The following is a 15,037-nucleotide window of genomic DNA, read 5'->3' as shown; positions in this document are numbered from 1 at the left end:
GCTGTGCTAGAGTATTTTTTCTGATACAGAGGAACAGAAAGGATCAGCGATGATCACTTAAAGTGCTGTTTGCATGCTCCTCCATCCTCCATGAGCAGCCCTGGGGACAGGACCAAGGGCCTGCAGTGCTCCCGGCGAACCCACGGCCTCCGCTCAGCTGCTGGGAAACTTTGCTCAAGCATTATTCAAAGTTACTCATTATTGCTGGAGCATTCCGACTGATCCACATGCTCAGAAAGCTCTGGCTTTGTGGCTGAGGATTGTTTTTGTGCAGAAATGTTTGCTTCCTTGGATGAAAGGGGGCCTGAGATGGCCCCCAGACAGAAGAGAACTTTGCCGTAGCCACCACCGGAGGTCTCTGGAAAATTTTCCCCTTTTGGAGGCTGCAATCTGCGACGCAGAGCCTTTCTCCTTCCCCTTCTGAAGTTGGCTATTGCTTTTAGCCCAGAGCCATTGCAAGTCTCAGAGAGCAAAGATACTGTGGGAGCCCTAAAATAAATTCTAAAGTCCAAAATGGAACACATTTAAAGTGAGCTCTGGAGAGAAAAATGGATAACGCTTTAGAGCTGTTTTCACAAAAGAAATCACCCAACCAATACATCATTGGGCCCTTTTAACTATGGCATCTGGATAGATTTAATTTTGACTTTTGACGTGACCAATCAACTCATACATAATCTCCAAGCCAGATAGTAACTACCTTGCCACCTTCTCTGTTTAGGGGCAGACTTGTTTCTTCAGCAAATACCAACGAAGACCTACTGAGTGGCAGTTCTCTGCGGGGCCCTGGGCTGCCAGTGGTGAGATAAAGCACACACAGGAAGCTTCTGGTCTGGTGGACAAATTGACCTCGTTCTGGGAAACTCCAGCACATCTTTGAGATGCTTTGGGCGGCAGAGCTGAACACCACTGGCCTGGGAGTTTCTAGGAAAAGCTTCCCGGACCACAGGGGCTCAGTGTCTGTGCTGTCCTTTCCGGAACCTTTCCCTCCTCCAGCGAGCAACCTGGCCCCCCACACTCACTGCAGCTCACGCCCATCCACTGATAAACAGGCACAGTCTCACTCCAGGGGCAGGGGCCTTGAGCAAGGTGAATGTGGATCTGTTGAGCCACACCATGAGCGCACTGTCATCTCCTGCGGGATCATCTACGGGGTAACCCCCAGAGTCAGGAAATGGATGTTGGTCTCAAAGGGAGCCCACCATTTCCCTAGACGGGTAGGGCTGACTCTGGCTTTGTGGCCAGGTGCTAATGTCCTGTAGGCGATTTCACAGCGGTTCCCACATAGCCTGGGGCAGGACCAGGCTTTCTCCTTGTCCTTATGCCCTGTCACCTTCTACATGTCCCACCCCCGAGGATGGCCTGAGTCAGGTGATGCTACGATTCCAGGGGCTTGGACAGCATCACTCCTATCCAGAACGCTGATGGGAAATGAGTGACCGCTGGCCGTTTGTGACCATTGGTGACTACAGAGGCCCTCAGAGAGACTCAGCTTCCAGATGACCACCTGGTGGTGCTCCTGGAAGAGAAAAAAGGAAGGGGGTGGTGGGGTGAAATGGGGCACACGACTTTCCCAGCCCTCCCACCTGCCGTCTCCCCCAGCCCCCGCTGGGTGTGTTGTCTGTGAACATGAGCCCCCCCACATCCATTGGCATCTCCTTCCAGAGGCTTTGGAGCCTTGACGCTGAGCCTCTGCAGCCTGAATGCCCGACTCCGCAGCAAGTGAGTCATGCATGGTGTGGAGGCTGGAAGAGGAAAGACACCCTCGGGGCAGGAGAAAAAATTCGGTTAGTGCAGGGGTGGGTGGGTGGGAGATAAACATGCTGATTGAAACGTCAACGTGAGTGAGCTCGTTCACCGAGCACCTTGCCAGGGTCCCACCAATGAGTCGGGAACGAGCCTATCACTAGAAACTAGGACTGTCGGCAAGGTCCAGAGAGGGGAAGGTCCTTGAAAGAGGCTCTCTGACCTTGGCCGTGAGGGCGTCACAGTGTCTGAGAGCGGACACCTCCACGGGGGTCCCGTGAGGGCCAGGAGTGCCCGGGCAAGGGGTGGTGAAATGCTCTCACCTCTGGGGCTGGGTGTAGCCTCCTCTTAGACAGGCCTGGAGAGGACAGGGCTGGTGCCCTGGGAGTGAGCTGGCCCTGGCTGGACAGAAACCTGAGTTTTGTGAATGTCAAGAGGATTCTGTGAGGCAAATGGAAGAAAAGGACACTCTTGGGTGCTTGTTGGGGCCTCCCTAAATCAGGAGGAAGCTGAGAAACCAGGCCTGGAGATGGGCAGGGAGTGAGAGGAAACCAGAACATCCCTGTCTGGGCGTTGTTGTGGCCACGGTGGGGAGAGGTGGGGCAGGCCGTCCTGCTGTCCCTGTGGGCCCTGAGATGCCCACTCCAGAGTCCGCGTCCCAGGAGCAGGCATCAGATGGGAGAGCTCAGGCTGGACACCTCCACCCTGGCTGCATCTGGGGTGCAGCAGGGGGAGCCTGGTGCTTTCACTTCTGCCTTGGGAGGTGGGTGGCTGGGTTATGCAGATCTAGAGGGAGATTTGGGGTGATATCCATGAAAAGGGTGGATTCTGAGCAGCCGGAAAATGACAAATGGCCACCGCTGCCCACAGGACCACTTTCCCACCTCTTGCATTTTCTTCTCACTTTTCCTTTTTCCCTTCATCACATGTAAGTTGTAACAAACAAGCTGGGTTCCCAGTCAGAGGCCCCACTGCCTCACCAGCTGCCTGGGAAAGGAGAGGAGTGTGACAAGAGAGGCTGCACACCCTGGGTGGTGGCCCCATGGGTGCCTGGCGTCCTGAGCGTGTCCTCCATGGCTGCAGTGGCATCTGGGTTTGGCCATCTACTGTCCTTCACCCGCTCTCATATTCCACTTTGGGCTCTGGGGGTGGGCAGGGGCCCCAGAAGATCACCATTCCATACCCCTGGCAGAGTGATTGGCCTGCAAAGGGGTCCCTGGTCCAGTTCTAGCCAAGACATTCTCCATCAGCCTCCGCTCTTCCTTTCAAAGTTGGCCCCAACAGGAGGGGAGTGCGAGGTATAGCAACCATCTTGCTGCCACAGCGAGGAGCGCAGAGCTTCTGAGGTTCCCCACACCCAGCCTGAGATTGAAACTGGTCCAACAGCAGCAAAGAGAGGGAGAAGCTGGGTCCTGAAAACCCCATTTGAGTCCTGGATCCAGCTGTGCCTGAAGACCACCCTGGGGCTTTTTAATTACGCAAGCCAACACATTTCCTTTTTTGCATAAGCCATTTAGAAAGGGTTTTCTGTCATTCGAGAACAAAAATGACTTGGCCAAGAAATACAATGGGGCAGAATGGATGAGAGAAAGAAGCTCTTAGGGCTCCCAAAGGCTCAAACAAGAGGCAGGAGTGTCTGTGTGTGCACATGCACGTGCACAAAACAATTTTTGTTTTAATTGGGGGCTGGGTGCGGTGGCTCACGCCCGTAATCCTAGCACTTTGGGAAGCCGAGGCGGGCAGATCACCTGAGGTCAGGAGTTCAAGACTAGCCTGGCCAACATGGCAAAACCTCATCTCTACTAAAAATACAAAAATTAGCCGGGCGTGGTGGCTGTACAGGTGGGATGCCTGTAATCCCAGCTACTCGGGAGGTTGAGGCAGGAGAATCGCTTGAACCCAGGAGGCAGAGATTACAGTGAGCAATCGTCCTTCCTGCACTGACACACATATCCACCAAGATCAGGCGGCTGCACTCCAGCTTGGGTGACAGAGCAAGACTCTGTCTCAAAAAAAAATACATACGTAAAATAAAATAAAAATAAAAATAACAAAATTTGGCCCTACTCTGCTAAAGGAACCTAGAGAAGGAGGTTTTCATTCTGCCTGAGCCAGAGCCTTAGAGCAAGAAGCTGCATCTTGGGAGACTTCTGTGCTCAGGGAGACAAGAACTGAAGTCTCTTCCTCAAGGGAGATGCGAAAGTCAGGGGGTCTCAGGCAGAGCCTCCTGTTCTGGCCTCCCGCTCTCACTGGGAGACCCTCCTTTTCCAGCTTTGGTGTCTTCTACTAATACGGGAGCTGCTTCTTTCCGCTGGCACATAACCTCATCTCTCAAATGCAACTCAGCTTTCAAAATCAACAAACAATACCGTGATGACCTGGTATTCCTGCCGGCTCTGTTGCTGCAGACCCTCGCCCCGCCCCCGCCTTTCCCTTCCCGGCCTCCTCAGTCTGAGAACAGAGTCCACCCTCTCTCTGGGACTGTTTTCCCTTCCCTCTGTGACCGCTGTCCACTCCCGCTGCTCTGTTGGAACCACTGTGCCTGCAGCCCCAGACACGGCTGGCAGAATCCCCTGAGTGGGTCATCCTCTCTGGTATCCACTCAGCTCTGCCCCCTCACCTACCAGCTTGCCCATCTCCAAAGCCAGTCCACATCCACCACCTGGGAAACACACACTCAAATCCACCCAGAACACCCCACATGGCCTGGTGGCTGACCTTCCACTCTCTTGCCCATCTGGGCCCTTGGTCCTGCAGTCTCTCTCTCTGACCTCGCCTTAGAGAGTGTGAGCCGTCCCAATGGCTCACTCCACCCACGTTACTCGGCTCCCTCAGATGGAAGGGGTCCTGATCCAGAGTGAGTGCTGGAGGAGCTGGGTTTTCTCTGGGCCACCGCCCCTTCCACACACCCAGTCCCCGCGCACACACACAGGCTCGTTCATTCACAAATCCCCACGCTCACACCCACAGGTGTCTCCCTGCGCACACACCCGCCCGCTTCCTTCCTGCATCGACACACACACACACACACACACACACACACACACACACACACTCCCACGGCTTCCCCTTCCTGCAGACATGCGCCCACACATCCCTAACACGGGATGGGAGGAAATTTTGCCTTCTGCAAGGAGTTTTTATCCTCAGGTGGGCGGGGTGGGGGGGATTAAGTATAGGCTATTTGCAAGTCTGAGGGAATTTACTTTGGCATATTGTATAATTCTAGAGAGAGGCAGGAAGTTGAAAGGGGAAAAGGTGGGGGCCAGAGAAACGAGGGAAGGGTCCCAGTAAATCATTGTTCCACCTTGCCATTCAGCCAGCACCTGGCAGCAGGGCCTGAAGACCCACTGACTGCTTCGTTAGCTTTCCAGGTGGCTCACCAACATACTCGGAACAATGAAAAACACTTGATCAATGTTTATTTCTGTCTTTGAATTCTATTTGCTGAGTTTGATTCAGTAAATGATTATGTATCATAATGCTTACTATTTGGTTGTTAGGTGTAGGCCTTTGTCAGATACCTCACTAAAAGCTCCACCTACAGCATTAATTTAGATCTTCGGAGCCCTATGGGTAGATATTTATATAACCCCCATTACACAGATGAGGATATTGAGGGTCCAATGTGCCCAAGGTCATACAGTGAAGGCGGCAGAACTGCAGGTTTGAGTTCAAGTCTGCAGACAATTCAGCCCTAATCTCAACCACCAAGATGTAATTAATGCCTTATGCTTTAGAATTCCCATTAGATCTGGAAATCTAAGATGGCTACAACATAACTTAGCAGTTCTTTGGGAGAATAAAATTGTCTGGTATGCATCTGTTAACACTTTGTTGTTCTGAGCCTTTCTTGTAAAATCCAGTAAATGTGAGCTTCCCAAGGCTCGAAACAGATCGGATTTATCCTTCCACCCAGGTATTCTGCAGAACATCACTTGGCCAATAGGAGGTGCCCAGCCAATGTTGAAAGTAAATTAAACGAAGTGAAATTCAGGTTTTTGCTCTAGATGTGTGCCAAATCAGCTCATTAGGGGACTGGCAACAACAAAATTAACATTGAGTGCTAAGTCCTTTAGAGGCCAAGAGGCCTGGCGGCTCTTCCTAGCTCTGTAGCGACTCTTAGCAAACTTGCAGAGCCCAAACGTGGTGAGGAAAGCCACATGCGGAATCCACGCTTGAGGCTGCACAGGTTGTGACCTGGAGAGCCATCTTCCAGATTCTGAACACCCATCTCTCCCTTGAGTCTGCGTTTCTCACAGGCCTGAGTCCTGCACACACAAACTTGTGTTTCTTACACACTCATAGGAAAAACGTGCCTTGCACACCTGACAACATGCTGCAGAGGAGGACGTGCAGTCTGGATGTAAATGTGGGTCTAAGCCACAGCAGGAGTCTTCTTGTCTGCGAGACGCGCCTGGCATTCACTGAGCAGGGCTGGCGTGAGCATGAGTGCTGGTCCACGTGAAGCGCTTAGCACGGAGCCTGGCACCGGGGGCGCTGGGGAAGACAGTTGATCCCAACCACTTTCTTGCACATTTCTGACACGGCTGCTGATTCCTGCCAGGCAGGCCCCGGGCGCCTGCGATTCAGCAAGACTTCCTCATCGCCTTTTTAAACCTGCTCTGCTCAAGCCTCAGCTCTTGGTGATTTCCTGAAGATGCTGCCACCCGGGAAGAGCCTCCCAGTCCTCAAATCCCGAGCCCATGCCTTTCATCCCTGCCAGGTTTCCATTTCCAGTTTGCTCCTAACCTGGCCCTTGTCCCCTGCCCCGGCCCCCCGGGACGGGCGAGAGCGAGCCAGACAATAGTAAATGGAATTCAGTCCCACACAAGGGGAAAAAAAAAAAAAAAAGATTATGAAAATGGAAAGTAAATAAATATGGATGTTGAGGACCTAATTCTGATAAGCGGATTTTCAAAATTAGCCATTTGCAAGAGTAGATTAAATGCGTTTAATGTGATGGGTGGAAGTAAGTCGATTAAGATGCACAGCAGACCCCATTTCAGCAGATTCCGGGGAGCAGGCCTCGCAGGCCCCCTTCACGCTGCGCATGTTTGCCGGGATAAACGCCGAATGCCTCTTAAGCGCACTAATTTGCCGTTGTCGTGCTGGTAAACAGGCCTCCTGGAAAGGGGCCACTCGCCGCTTCTGTACCCAAGGCGGACAGCGGAGCAGGGAGGGGCCGCCGGCCGGGCTGGGGCGGGAGGCCAGGGGCCAGCCCCGGGGGTGCGGGGGCTCCGCTCGCGGTCTGCAGGGAGGCTGAGAAGCGCCAAGGACAAAGGAATGGCACTGGATTTCCCCTCACCTTCCCCAGCCGGCCGCCCCCCACCCGACCCTCTGCAGAGAGAATTCTGGTCCCAGAGTACCTTGCAGCTCCTTCCATGGCAACGGCCGCCTCCCTCCCGCACCGCTTCGCCTCCTTCCTTCCTTCCCGCGCCTTCTCCCCGCAGCCCACACCAGAGCCAGGCCTCCCGAGGGCTCGGCGCACCCGCACCCCCGGGGCAGGGACGACGGCCAGTCCTTCCCCCCCGGAGGAGGGGCAAGCAGGCGCTCCCAACGCGTACGCCAGCCACACCTGCAAGCGGGAGAGGGCCAGATCCCCACACGTCCCTGCCCTGTCCTTCTCCGGGGCACCCACCACATTCGGGGGCCTTAGAGCCCTGAAAAGCCCGGCTGTGTTTCAGGTTTGAGGAAACAGATGAACCGCTTTACCGTGGCCCAGTGTTGGGGGATGGTGGGGTTGGGGGCGGGGTGGGGGGACGGTGCAGGTAGAAGCCAGTGATCTGAATAAACACCTCCTGACGTCTTTGAATGGATCACACCCAACGATCTGAAGTTGCATCCAGACAGTTCCTTACAGGACCTGAGGCTCCAAGTCACCATGTAACCCTAATGTCTCAGCCATGGTGCGTCTGTCATGGTGTGAGGACACAGAGAGCAGTCACCTAGCACTAACCCTGGTACTAGCACTGTGCTTCATTTACTCCATTTAATTCTCCCAGCTGGGAGAAGCTGCCCATCAAACAGAATAAGCTCCATAGGCCCTGCAAGATCTGCCAGGCTGCCTCTCTGAACTCACCCCCTCCCTCACCCCCACTGCTCCTCCCTGGGGATGCTCCAGCACAGCAGCCTTCTTTCTGTCCCCTTAGCACTCTGCATCCATTCCTGCCCCAGGACCTTTGCACTTGCTGTTCTCTCTGCCCAGGACACTCTGCCACTATTTGCACCATGCCAGTAACTTGGCATTGGGGTCTTTCAATTGCCTTCGCAACAGTTATCACTGTTTGTTTCATTGGTTTGTTTGTGAGTTTGTTGTCTGCGTCCTGACACCTTGAAAACAGGGGCCTTGCTTGTCTGGAAGAGCTGTGTCCCAGCACTGAGAATGGATCATACAGGTGTGACGGGGTGAAGCCAGGTCTAGAGCCCTTGTGTTAGGGGTGCAGAGCCTTTCTCACCCCAACCAATGCCACCACCTGGTGCCTGATGACCCCATGCACCAGGGTGAGGCAGGGACAGGTTCCCTTCTGTAACAGCTTCTATCAGAGCTGCTCTCAGGGAGGCATAAGGCAAGGTGCCTTCTGCCCCCTTGGAAGCAGGGCTCAAAGGGGAGGTGGGTTCTACTTCTCTCCCATTTCACAGATGAGGCAGCTGAGGCACGGATGGGAAACACTCAAACTCCCACAGCTTTAAGTGGCAGAATGGGACTCAAGCCCAGACAGTCTGGGGTAGGGGAGGAGGAAGTGAAGGGGAATTCCAGCCCAAGAAGCATTACATCTCAGTCTAAGGGAGTTGTTCTCAAATGTTTCGAAGCAAGAGCATCGATCACTGCAGTCATTTTTCGAAAGGTCATTTTCATGGCCCTGCCCCAGCGATGCTCGCTTGGCAGGACAGATGCGGCGCCTGGAGTCTGTATGTTTAACAAGCATATGCCTAGGTGCCTCTGATGCAGGTGCTGTGCTGCAGGGCCACCCACTCTTTGGTTGCAGCCGGGAGAGGAGGTGGTTGTCCTGGCCAGAGACCAGAGAAGCCACCTCTGTAATGTTCCCTCCAAGATCACCATTCCCTCCTCTGCCCCCGATCTCCAGCCCACTTCCCTCCCAGTCTTCTGTGAGGCCCCGGGGCTCATCCATGCTGGGAGGCCTGGCTGCTGTCAGCCCATGGAATTTGAAAGTCCTCTGCAGAGCTTCCTGGTGGATGGGAGGAAGAAAAGACATCTGGTCAAGTTCTTCCCTGTTTTCCCTGTGCCTGGCTGGGACCACTCAGAAGTCGATGCAGTCCCCATCAGCAGTGACCCACGACGGGGTGAGGAGCAAGCCTCCTGCAGAGGAACAGGGCTGGCTCTGAAAAGCGCAGGTGGAGACGACTCGAGTTCAAAGGAGAATGCTTCTTGCAGGCGGCTCCTCAGGATACCCCAATGCCGCTCAGGGTTCTGCTACGGAAGGGCTTCCTTCAAAAAGCCTGGGTCCCTTCTTTTGCCACACCCTGTCTCATCCTAGGTGGGTGTGAGGTCTGGCCAGGACCCCAGATCCTAGCTGCGGGGGGTGGGGGCTCAGCAGGTGAATGAGCCAGGTTGTGAAGGCATCTTTGCCTTCTCACACAAGACGTAGTCCCAAGAAAGGACTCTGTCCTGTGTGCGGGGCTTCATCAGCTGGCTGCAAGACTGCTCCTGAAATGAGGCGTGGGCTGGGGGGCAGTGGTGGCCACAGCCGCTGTGCTCTCCCTGGATGTGCAGATGCTTGCCTGTTTACCTGATGGTCATGTTTCTCACTCGAGAGGGGCAGGGGCAGGCAGAAGCGCAGGTTTGGAAATTTTAAGTGCAGTGAGCCCTCTTGAGCAGTAGCCTCATGCCAGGCTCTAGGCCAAGCACTGGACAAGGGTCCTCTTACTGCACAGGGCACCGGAAGATGACCGCAGAGCCTCTCATCCCGCCTTCCCCGGGGCCCCCCAGGCCTGTGGAAATGAGGCCCAGAAGCCACACAGCGAGGCAGGTTTGACTTCGCTGCTATGGAAGATGCGTGCTGGGTCATAGCCAGGTGCTGGGTGGAGCAGCGCTGACAGCCACCCGGGGCACTTGGCGGGTCAAGCCAGCTGCTAAAATATTCAATCGCTTCCATCCCAGGTAGTGAGTAGCTGCCGCCTCTGGCCCCAGAGGCCTCTGCTCCTCTGTCCTGGCCACTCCGCCCCTACCCCCAGCCTCCAGGGCCTCCAGGACCTGCCCTATCCAGTGGCTGGTCTGGCCACAGCCCCGCTGGCTCGGCGCCCTGGCACCTTGGGTTGTTAAATATTTTAACTGTCGCCCTAGGGTTCAGGAGAGGATTTGGTACAAATATGACCTGAAGTCCTCCCTAAGCTACGATGGGGCCCTCAGACTATCACAGATGAGGACCCAGATCAGCCGAGAAATGATCATGTCCCTGAGCCTGAGCTTCCTTCTCCATTAAAAGCAGCAACCAAGGTCCATGCATCCTGCCTGCCTCGCAGCACTGTCTATCCAGGGTCCTCCGGCTACGCTTTGTACGTGTGAGCGCTCAGAGTCTCCCGGGCTGCAAAGCCCTGGGTCTCCTGCGGGCTGGAACTAGCTTGCGGCCCCACCCAGAACCTTTCTTTCCTGACAACCAATATTTTAGAATTAGTCTTCAGTTCTGAACAAGAGCAAAAATCATTAGACTTTTTCATAGGGGACTTGTTTCCATCGGTGTTTGCCGAACCCCAGCCTGGGGTCTCTGCAGTTCATTATTTGTTTTTTGTTTTTTGTTTTTTTCTTCATTGGTGATGAGCTGTTTTCCAAATTCAGTTGCCATGTTGGCGGGAAGCTCGGGCCTCCCACGCGGTGCTCAAACTGGCCTTCTCGGCTGGCATGTGGGGGAGAGGGGAGCTGTGGGCCCCATTCCAGATGGCTGGGGAGCCCCTGCGGGATGCAGGAGAGGAGGCGCAGAGTGCCGAGGTAAACACAGGCTGGGCCGATCGCCCGTGGCAACCTCCCCTCCAGAGGAGGGAGATGGCTGGAAAACCAGGAAAACAGTATCGAACCAAGCACGTGGCGGCGGAAGTTGTCGCCCAGCTGGGGTTTGCTGCTACCCTTCCCCCAACTCTGGGAGGAAGGGGCAGGGGAAAATTCCAGAATCTAACAGGACAGGGAGGTTGGCAGAAGGATCTGTGCGAACTAACAAGCGCGAACACGGTCAGGAGGGTCAGGTCTGTGGTTAGGAAAAAGGAGAGAGAGGTTGAGAGCAGGCACCGGGGACTGCGGTCCGTCCGCGCCTTGCAGGCCACCCCCGCCCACACCAGCAGCACCTGCTGGGTAAATGAGGGCCCAGGCCTGTTCCAGACACAGGGAGCTTCCTTCCTGTGAGAACATCTTTTTGTCCTTGAGCGGGTGGTGATAGATAGAGAAACCAGCTCAGAGAAGGGAGGTAAGTTGCCCAGGGTCACCGGGAGAATTAATATCATAATTGAGAATAACAACTAGGCCTCCTATTTACTAGATAAAATAGCACTGGGAGATGTACTGAGAGAGATAGGAAAATAGAATTTGAAATCATTTATTATTTCTCTGCAAATGTAGTTGGTGTTAGGTTTTTTTTTCCTCCTCTCCTCTAGAGATGCTGTAACCACTACTGACTTTTCCCTATCCATGCACGGAGGCTGAGACCCTGTGTTTCGCCTGGATTTCATTTCCTCCTGCCTGCCAGGGAAGCTTCTCTGTATAGGATCCAGGGGCAGGTTGCAGGGAATCGCCAGGGGTAGAGCCAGCAGGGCCACCAAGTTCACTCTGGGGCCACCCCAGTAGGACAGATGTGCACCTGGAAGCTGACAGCCACCATGCCCTCCCCCTGATCTGGAGCTGCTGTTGATTCAGGCCAGCAGCTGGAGGTGGAGGTTCAAATCCCAGCTCCGCCTGTACTACAGTCCTGGAGCAGACTGCTTTACCTCTTTGAGTCTGAATTTTCCCTCTCTGTAAAAGGAGGCTACTCTCCTAAGGTTATTATGAAGATCAAATGCAGCTGGTGTGCTCGGATGCAGTAGGCGTGAATAGATGACTGTGTTGTCGGAGATGCTGCTGTTGCACGCGACGGTTAAACTGGAAGGGTTTGTGAGGGCAACTTATGTGAGAACTTTCAAGAGCTATGAAATTAATTGGAGGGTGTTAACTGTAGAAATAAAGTAACAGAAGAAAATTGCCTCTAAAGAATTAGAACAAAGCAATTATCTAGAAAGAAAATGATGTCAAGGAGGAGTAAGACATGCAAACCGCGGCGGCGTGGAGACCCAGGAAAGCGCAGACCATCATTCAGGGGCTGAGCCTGGGGAGCTCTAGGGGGCCCTCGGGGATACCCTCACACCCTCACCATGGGGAGGTGGGAAACTAAGGCTGGCAAGCAGATGGAGACCAGGGCCACACCGTTAAGACCAGACTCCCAAGCAGTGAGGCAGACACAAGGTAAGTGACAAGCTGTCCTATTAGATGTGGATTCTAGTCCCCGTTCTGCTATTCGTGGGCTGTGTGGCCCTGGGTGCATTACTCGAAGAGACTGGAGACAACAAACTCTAAGATCCTTTTCAGGTCCCAAACCTAGGAGTCCAAGTACTCTGGAATATCAGGGGCAGGGAACGTGGGACAGGGGATCGGCGCCAGCTGGACCAGGAGGCGCTGGAAAGAACTTAGAATAAAATAGAGTCTTTTATCTGGATTCTGTTTTAGCTGGACTCCCCCTCTGGGTGCTGGGCAAGTCCCTCTACCTCAGTGCTCTCATCTGAAGAAGTATCTGCAGAGGCAGCTGAGAGGGGTACATTGGACGAGGTGTGTGGACACAGGCTCGGCGTTGCCGTGAGCCAGCATCTGCTTGCTTCCTAGGCCGGTCCTGCTCCGGGGCCTCCTGTCCTCTGTGAGGCTTGGATGGAACTGACCCCCCTCCCCACTTCACTTGGTCCTTTGGAGTGGGCCAAGACAATCAGCGTATCCCATCCTCCTGGCCACAGTGTTTGGTTTAGGGAAGGGGCATGTGACCCAAGCCAGACCAATCAGAAAGGACCTTGGGACTTTTGCAGGGAATGCCTGGCCCCAGACATGCTCCCCCAGTGTGTTCCACAGGAAGCATGTGGTCTCAGGAACTGTTAGATGTTCTCACAGGGAGTCCTGGATTCAGCCGTACCTGAAGCTGGACGGCTCCATGAGCTAACATATTTCTTGTTTGCCGAAGCCATGCTGGCTTATCCTCAGCCACTATTCAACAAAGCCTCTCCCATCCCACCAAATCACCAGCTCATTTGACATTGAGATTCCCTTCTCCTAAGTGCTGACTCCGGGATGGGAATTTCCACCTCCAGCCTGCTCCATCCTCCCAGCAGCAGCAAGGAGCAGGTTGTGGAGCACAGCCGGCCTAGCCCTTGCTGCCTGACATCGCCCCTCCCCTACTCAGGAGCTCCGTGTTCTCACCTTGCTATTAAGCATTGCCAGGAGCCAGCCTCCGCTCAGCTCTGGGCCCTGTGCATCAGGCTCGGAGCTGCATTAAATAAAGACTGCAGCCCTGAAACTGCTCAAATGGATCTACATCAACGAGAACAGCCAGGGGAGGCCTTTAAATAGATTATCACCAAGAGCCAGCCAGAGCAGGCAAAGTTTGCCTTAGGCATCATTCCCTACCTCCCAACCCTCCCCCTACCCCTTCCTGGGCCTCTCCTGCCCTTCCTCGGTCTGCTTTGAGCATGCCTCACCCCAGACCCTGTCATAAATTAGTTCACACATTCATGGCTTAATATGTTACTCCTCTAGTTTGAAAAGAACAGAATGCAGGAGTGGGCAGTGTTTAACCTAGGGATGAGCTCAGCAATAATGGAATTCTAGGGATCCTAAAACCATGACAGATCATGAAATACACGTTTGGAGACAGAGGAACATCTCCAGCCTCCCTCAAGCAACCACTGAGCCCCCACTGTCCCCAGAATTTCTTTCACTGACCACAAACACTAAGTCCTTTCCTTTCTTCTCAGAGGCTGTACCTCGAAGTCCAATCCGTGCATATTCCACTTCAGGTTTGTGCTCTCCCTCCTCAGGGAGGACAGGAGAAGGAAGGCGGGAGCCTGGGTTCTCTGGACAGGGGTCCCTCTGCCTCCTTAGGTGCCTGGGATCAGATTTTCTGCTTGGCCGGAGTGGAATTCATCACTGGCTGCGGGACCTTGAAGGGGAAGCTCCTGGGGGTGCTGATCCCCAGGAAGTGAGAGCTTTCCTGGCAATGCTGCAACAGACCTCACTGCATGGCCAGGGTCCTCCCACCCCCACCCATGGGGCCATTCTCCACACCCCAAAGGGCTACTGTCCCTGCCAAGTGTCAGGTTCTGCCCTAGGGGCCTCAGGTGCACTATCTCATTTAATCCTCAAAAGCAGACCAGGCTACGTGGCTCACACCCGGAATCCCAGAGCTTGGGGAGGCCGAGGTGGGAGGCTCGCCTGAGGCCAGGAGTTCAAGATCAGCCACATAGGGCAACCTAGGGAGAACCTGTCTCTACAAAAAATAATCCTCAAAAGTCACATACATGATCAGCACTATGATTATCTCCATTGTACAGATGGAAACACTGAGGGCCGGAGAGGTCAAGTAGTCTACCCTAGGTCACCCAGGCAGGGAGCAGCAGAGCCAGGACTCAAGCCCAGGGAAGCTGGCTCAGAACCCAAGACCTTGCCAGGTCCGCGCAAGGCCCCCTGCCAAGCCCTGTATTGATGGCCTGCTGCTGAAGCTTATCGCCTCCCACAGCCAGGTCCTGAGCGAGACAGAGCACGGTCTTGACTGTATCCTCTGTCATCACCACCCCATGGGGCGGGCCCATAAGCCCCAGTGAGCCCCACTCCACGGATGAGAACGCTGAGGGTAGGAGAAGAGACGTGACTGACCCAAGGCCACTTAGCAGGTGAACAGCCATGCTGAGATTTGAGCTCTGGTCCATCTGATTTCAATGCCCATGATTTGCCTTTTGGGGTCCAAGAGCTGCTGGGTGGTACGCCTACAAAGAACTTCTTCTTTGTAACTTTTTGTTTTGAAATTATTACAGATTCACAGGAACTTGCAAAAATAGTACAGAGAGGTGCCGTGTACCCTGCACTGGGTTTCTCCCAGTGGTTCTATCTTACATAACTCTAGTACAATACCAGACCAGGAAACCCACATTGGCACAGGGTATGCATACGGCTCTACGTCATTTTGTCACATGTGGAGATCATGAAGCCACCACAGCACTCAAGATCTAGACCTGTTCCATCCCCGTGAAGATGTCACACCCACCTCCACCCTCC

General features: G+C 54.2%; 1 long non-coding RNA gene across 1 annotated transcript, besides 4 other annotated features; it reads right to left on the bottom strand.

Annotated features, from left to right (window-relative positions):
- Positions 784-1,442: an enhancer, noted in NCBI's record as "H3K4me1 hESC enhancer chr5:176176117-176176775 (GRCh37/hg19 assembly coordinates)". NCBI's record gives its function as "activates a minimal SCP1, AML or CMV promoter by ChIP-STARR-seq in naive H9 embryonic stem cells {active_cell/tissue: H9 hESC(naive)}" and the evidence as "EXISTENCE:reporter gene assay evidence [ECO:0000049][PMID:30033119]".
- Positions 2,103-2,761: an enhancer, noted in NCBI's record as "H3K4me1 hESC enhancer chr5:176174798-176175456 (GRCh37/hg19 assembly coordinates)". NCBI's record gives its function as "activates a minimal SCP1, AML or CMV promoter by ChIP-STARR-seq in primed H9 embryonic stem cells {active_cell/tissue: H9 hESC(primed)}" and the evidence as "EXISTENCE:reporter gene assay evidence [ECO:0000049][PMID:30033119]".
- Positions 5,819-6,787: an enhancer, noted in NCBI's record as "H3K27ac-H3K4me1 hESC enhancer chr5:176170772-176171740 (GRCh37/hg19 assembly coordinates)". NCBI's record gives its function as "activates a minimal SCP1, AML or CMV promoter by ChIP-STARR-seq in naive H9 embryonic stem cells {active_cell/tissue: H9 hESC(naive)}" and the evidence as "EXISTENCE:reporter gene assay evidence [ECO:0000049][PMID:30033119]".
- On the bottom strand, positions 6,637-7,353 carry LINC01574 (long intergenic non-protein coding RNA 1574). Its single transcript, NR_108030.1, has 2 exons — positions 7,116-7,353; positions 6,637-7,008 (listed from the first exon to the last, which is right to left on the bottom strand). It is a non-coding gene; the product is annotated as a long intergenic non-protein coding RNA 1574 (long non-coding RNA).
- Positions 9,305-10,014: an enhancer, noted in NCBI's record as "H3K4me1 hESC enhancer chr5:176167545-176168254 (GRCh37/hg19 assembly coordinates)". NCBI's record gives its function as "activates a minimal SCP1, AML or CMV promoter by ChIP-STARR-seq in primed H9 embryonic stem cells {active_cell/tissue: H9 hESC(primed)}" and the evidence as "EXISTENCE:reporter gene assay evidence [ECO:0000049][PMID:30033119]".

The sequence above is a fragment of the Homo sapiens genome, chromosome 5, assembly GCF_000001405.40.
Source record: "Homo sapiens chromosome 5, GRCh38.p14 Primary Assembly".
Classification (NCBI taxonomy): domain Eukaryota; kingdom Metazoa; phylum Chordata; class Mammalia; order Primates; family Hominidae; genus Homo; species Homo sapiens.
This window is presented reverse-complemented; position numbering and strand designations above follow the sequence as displayed.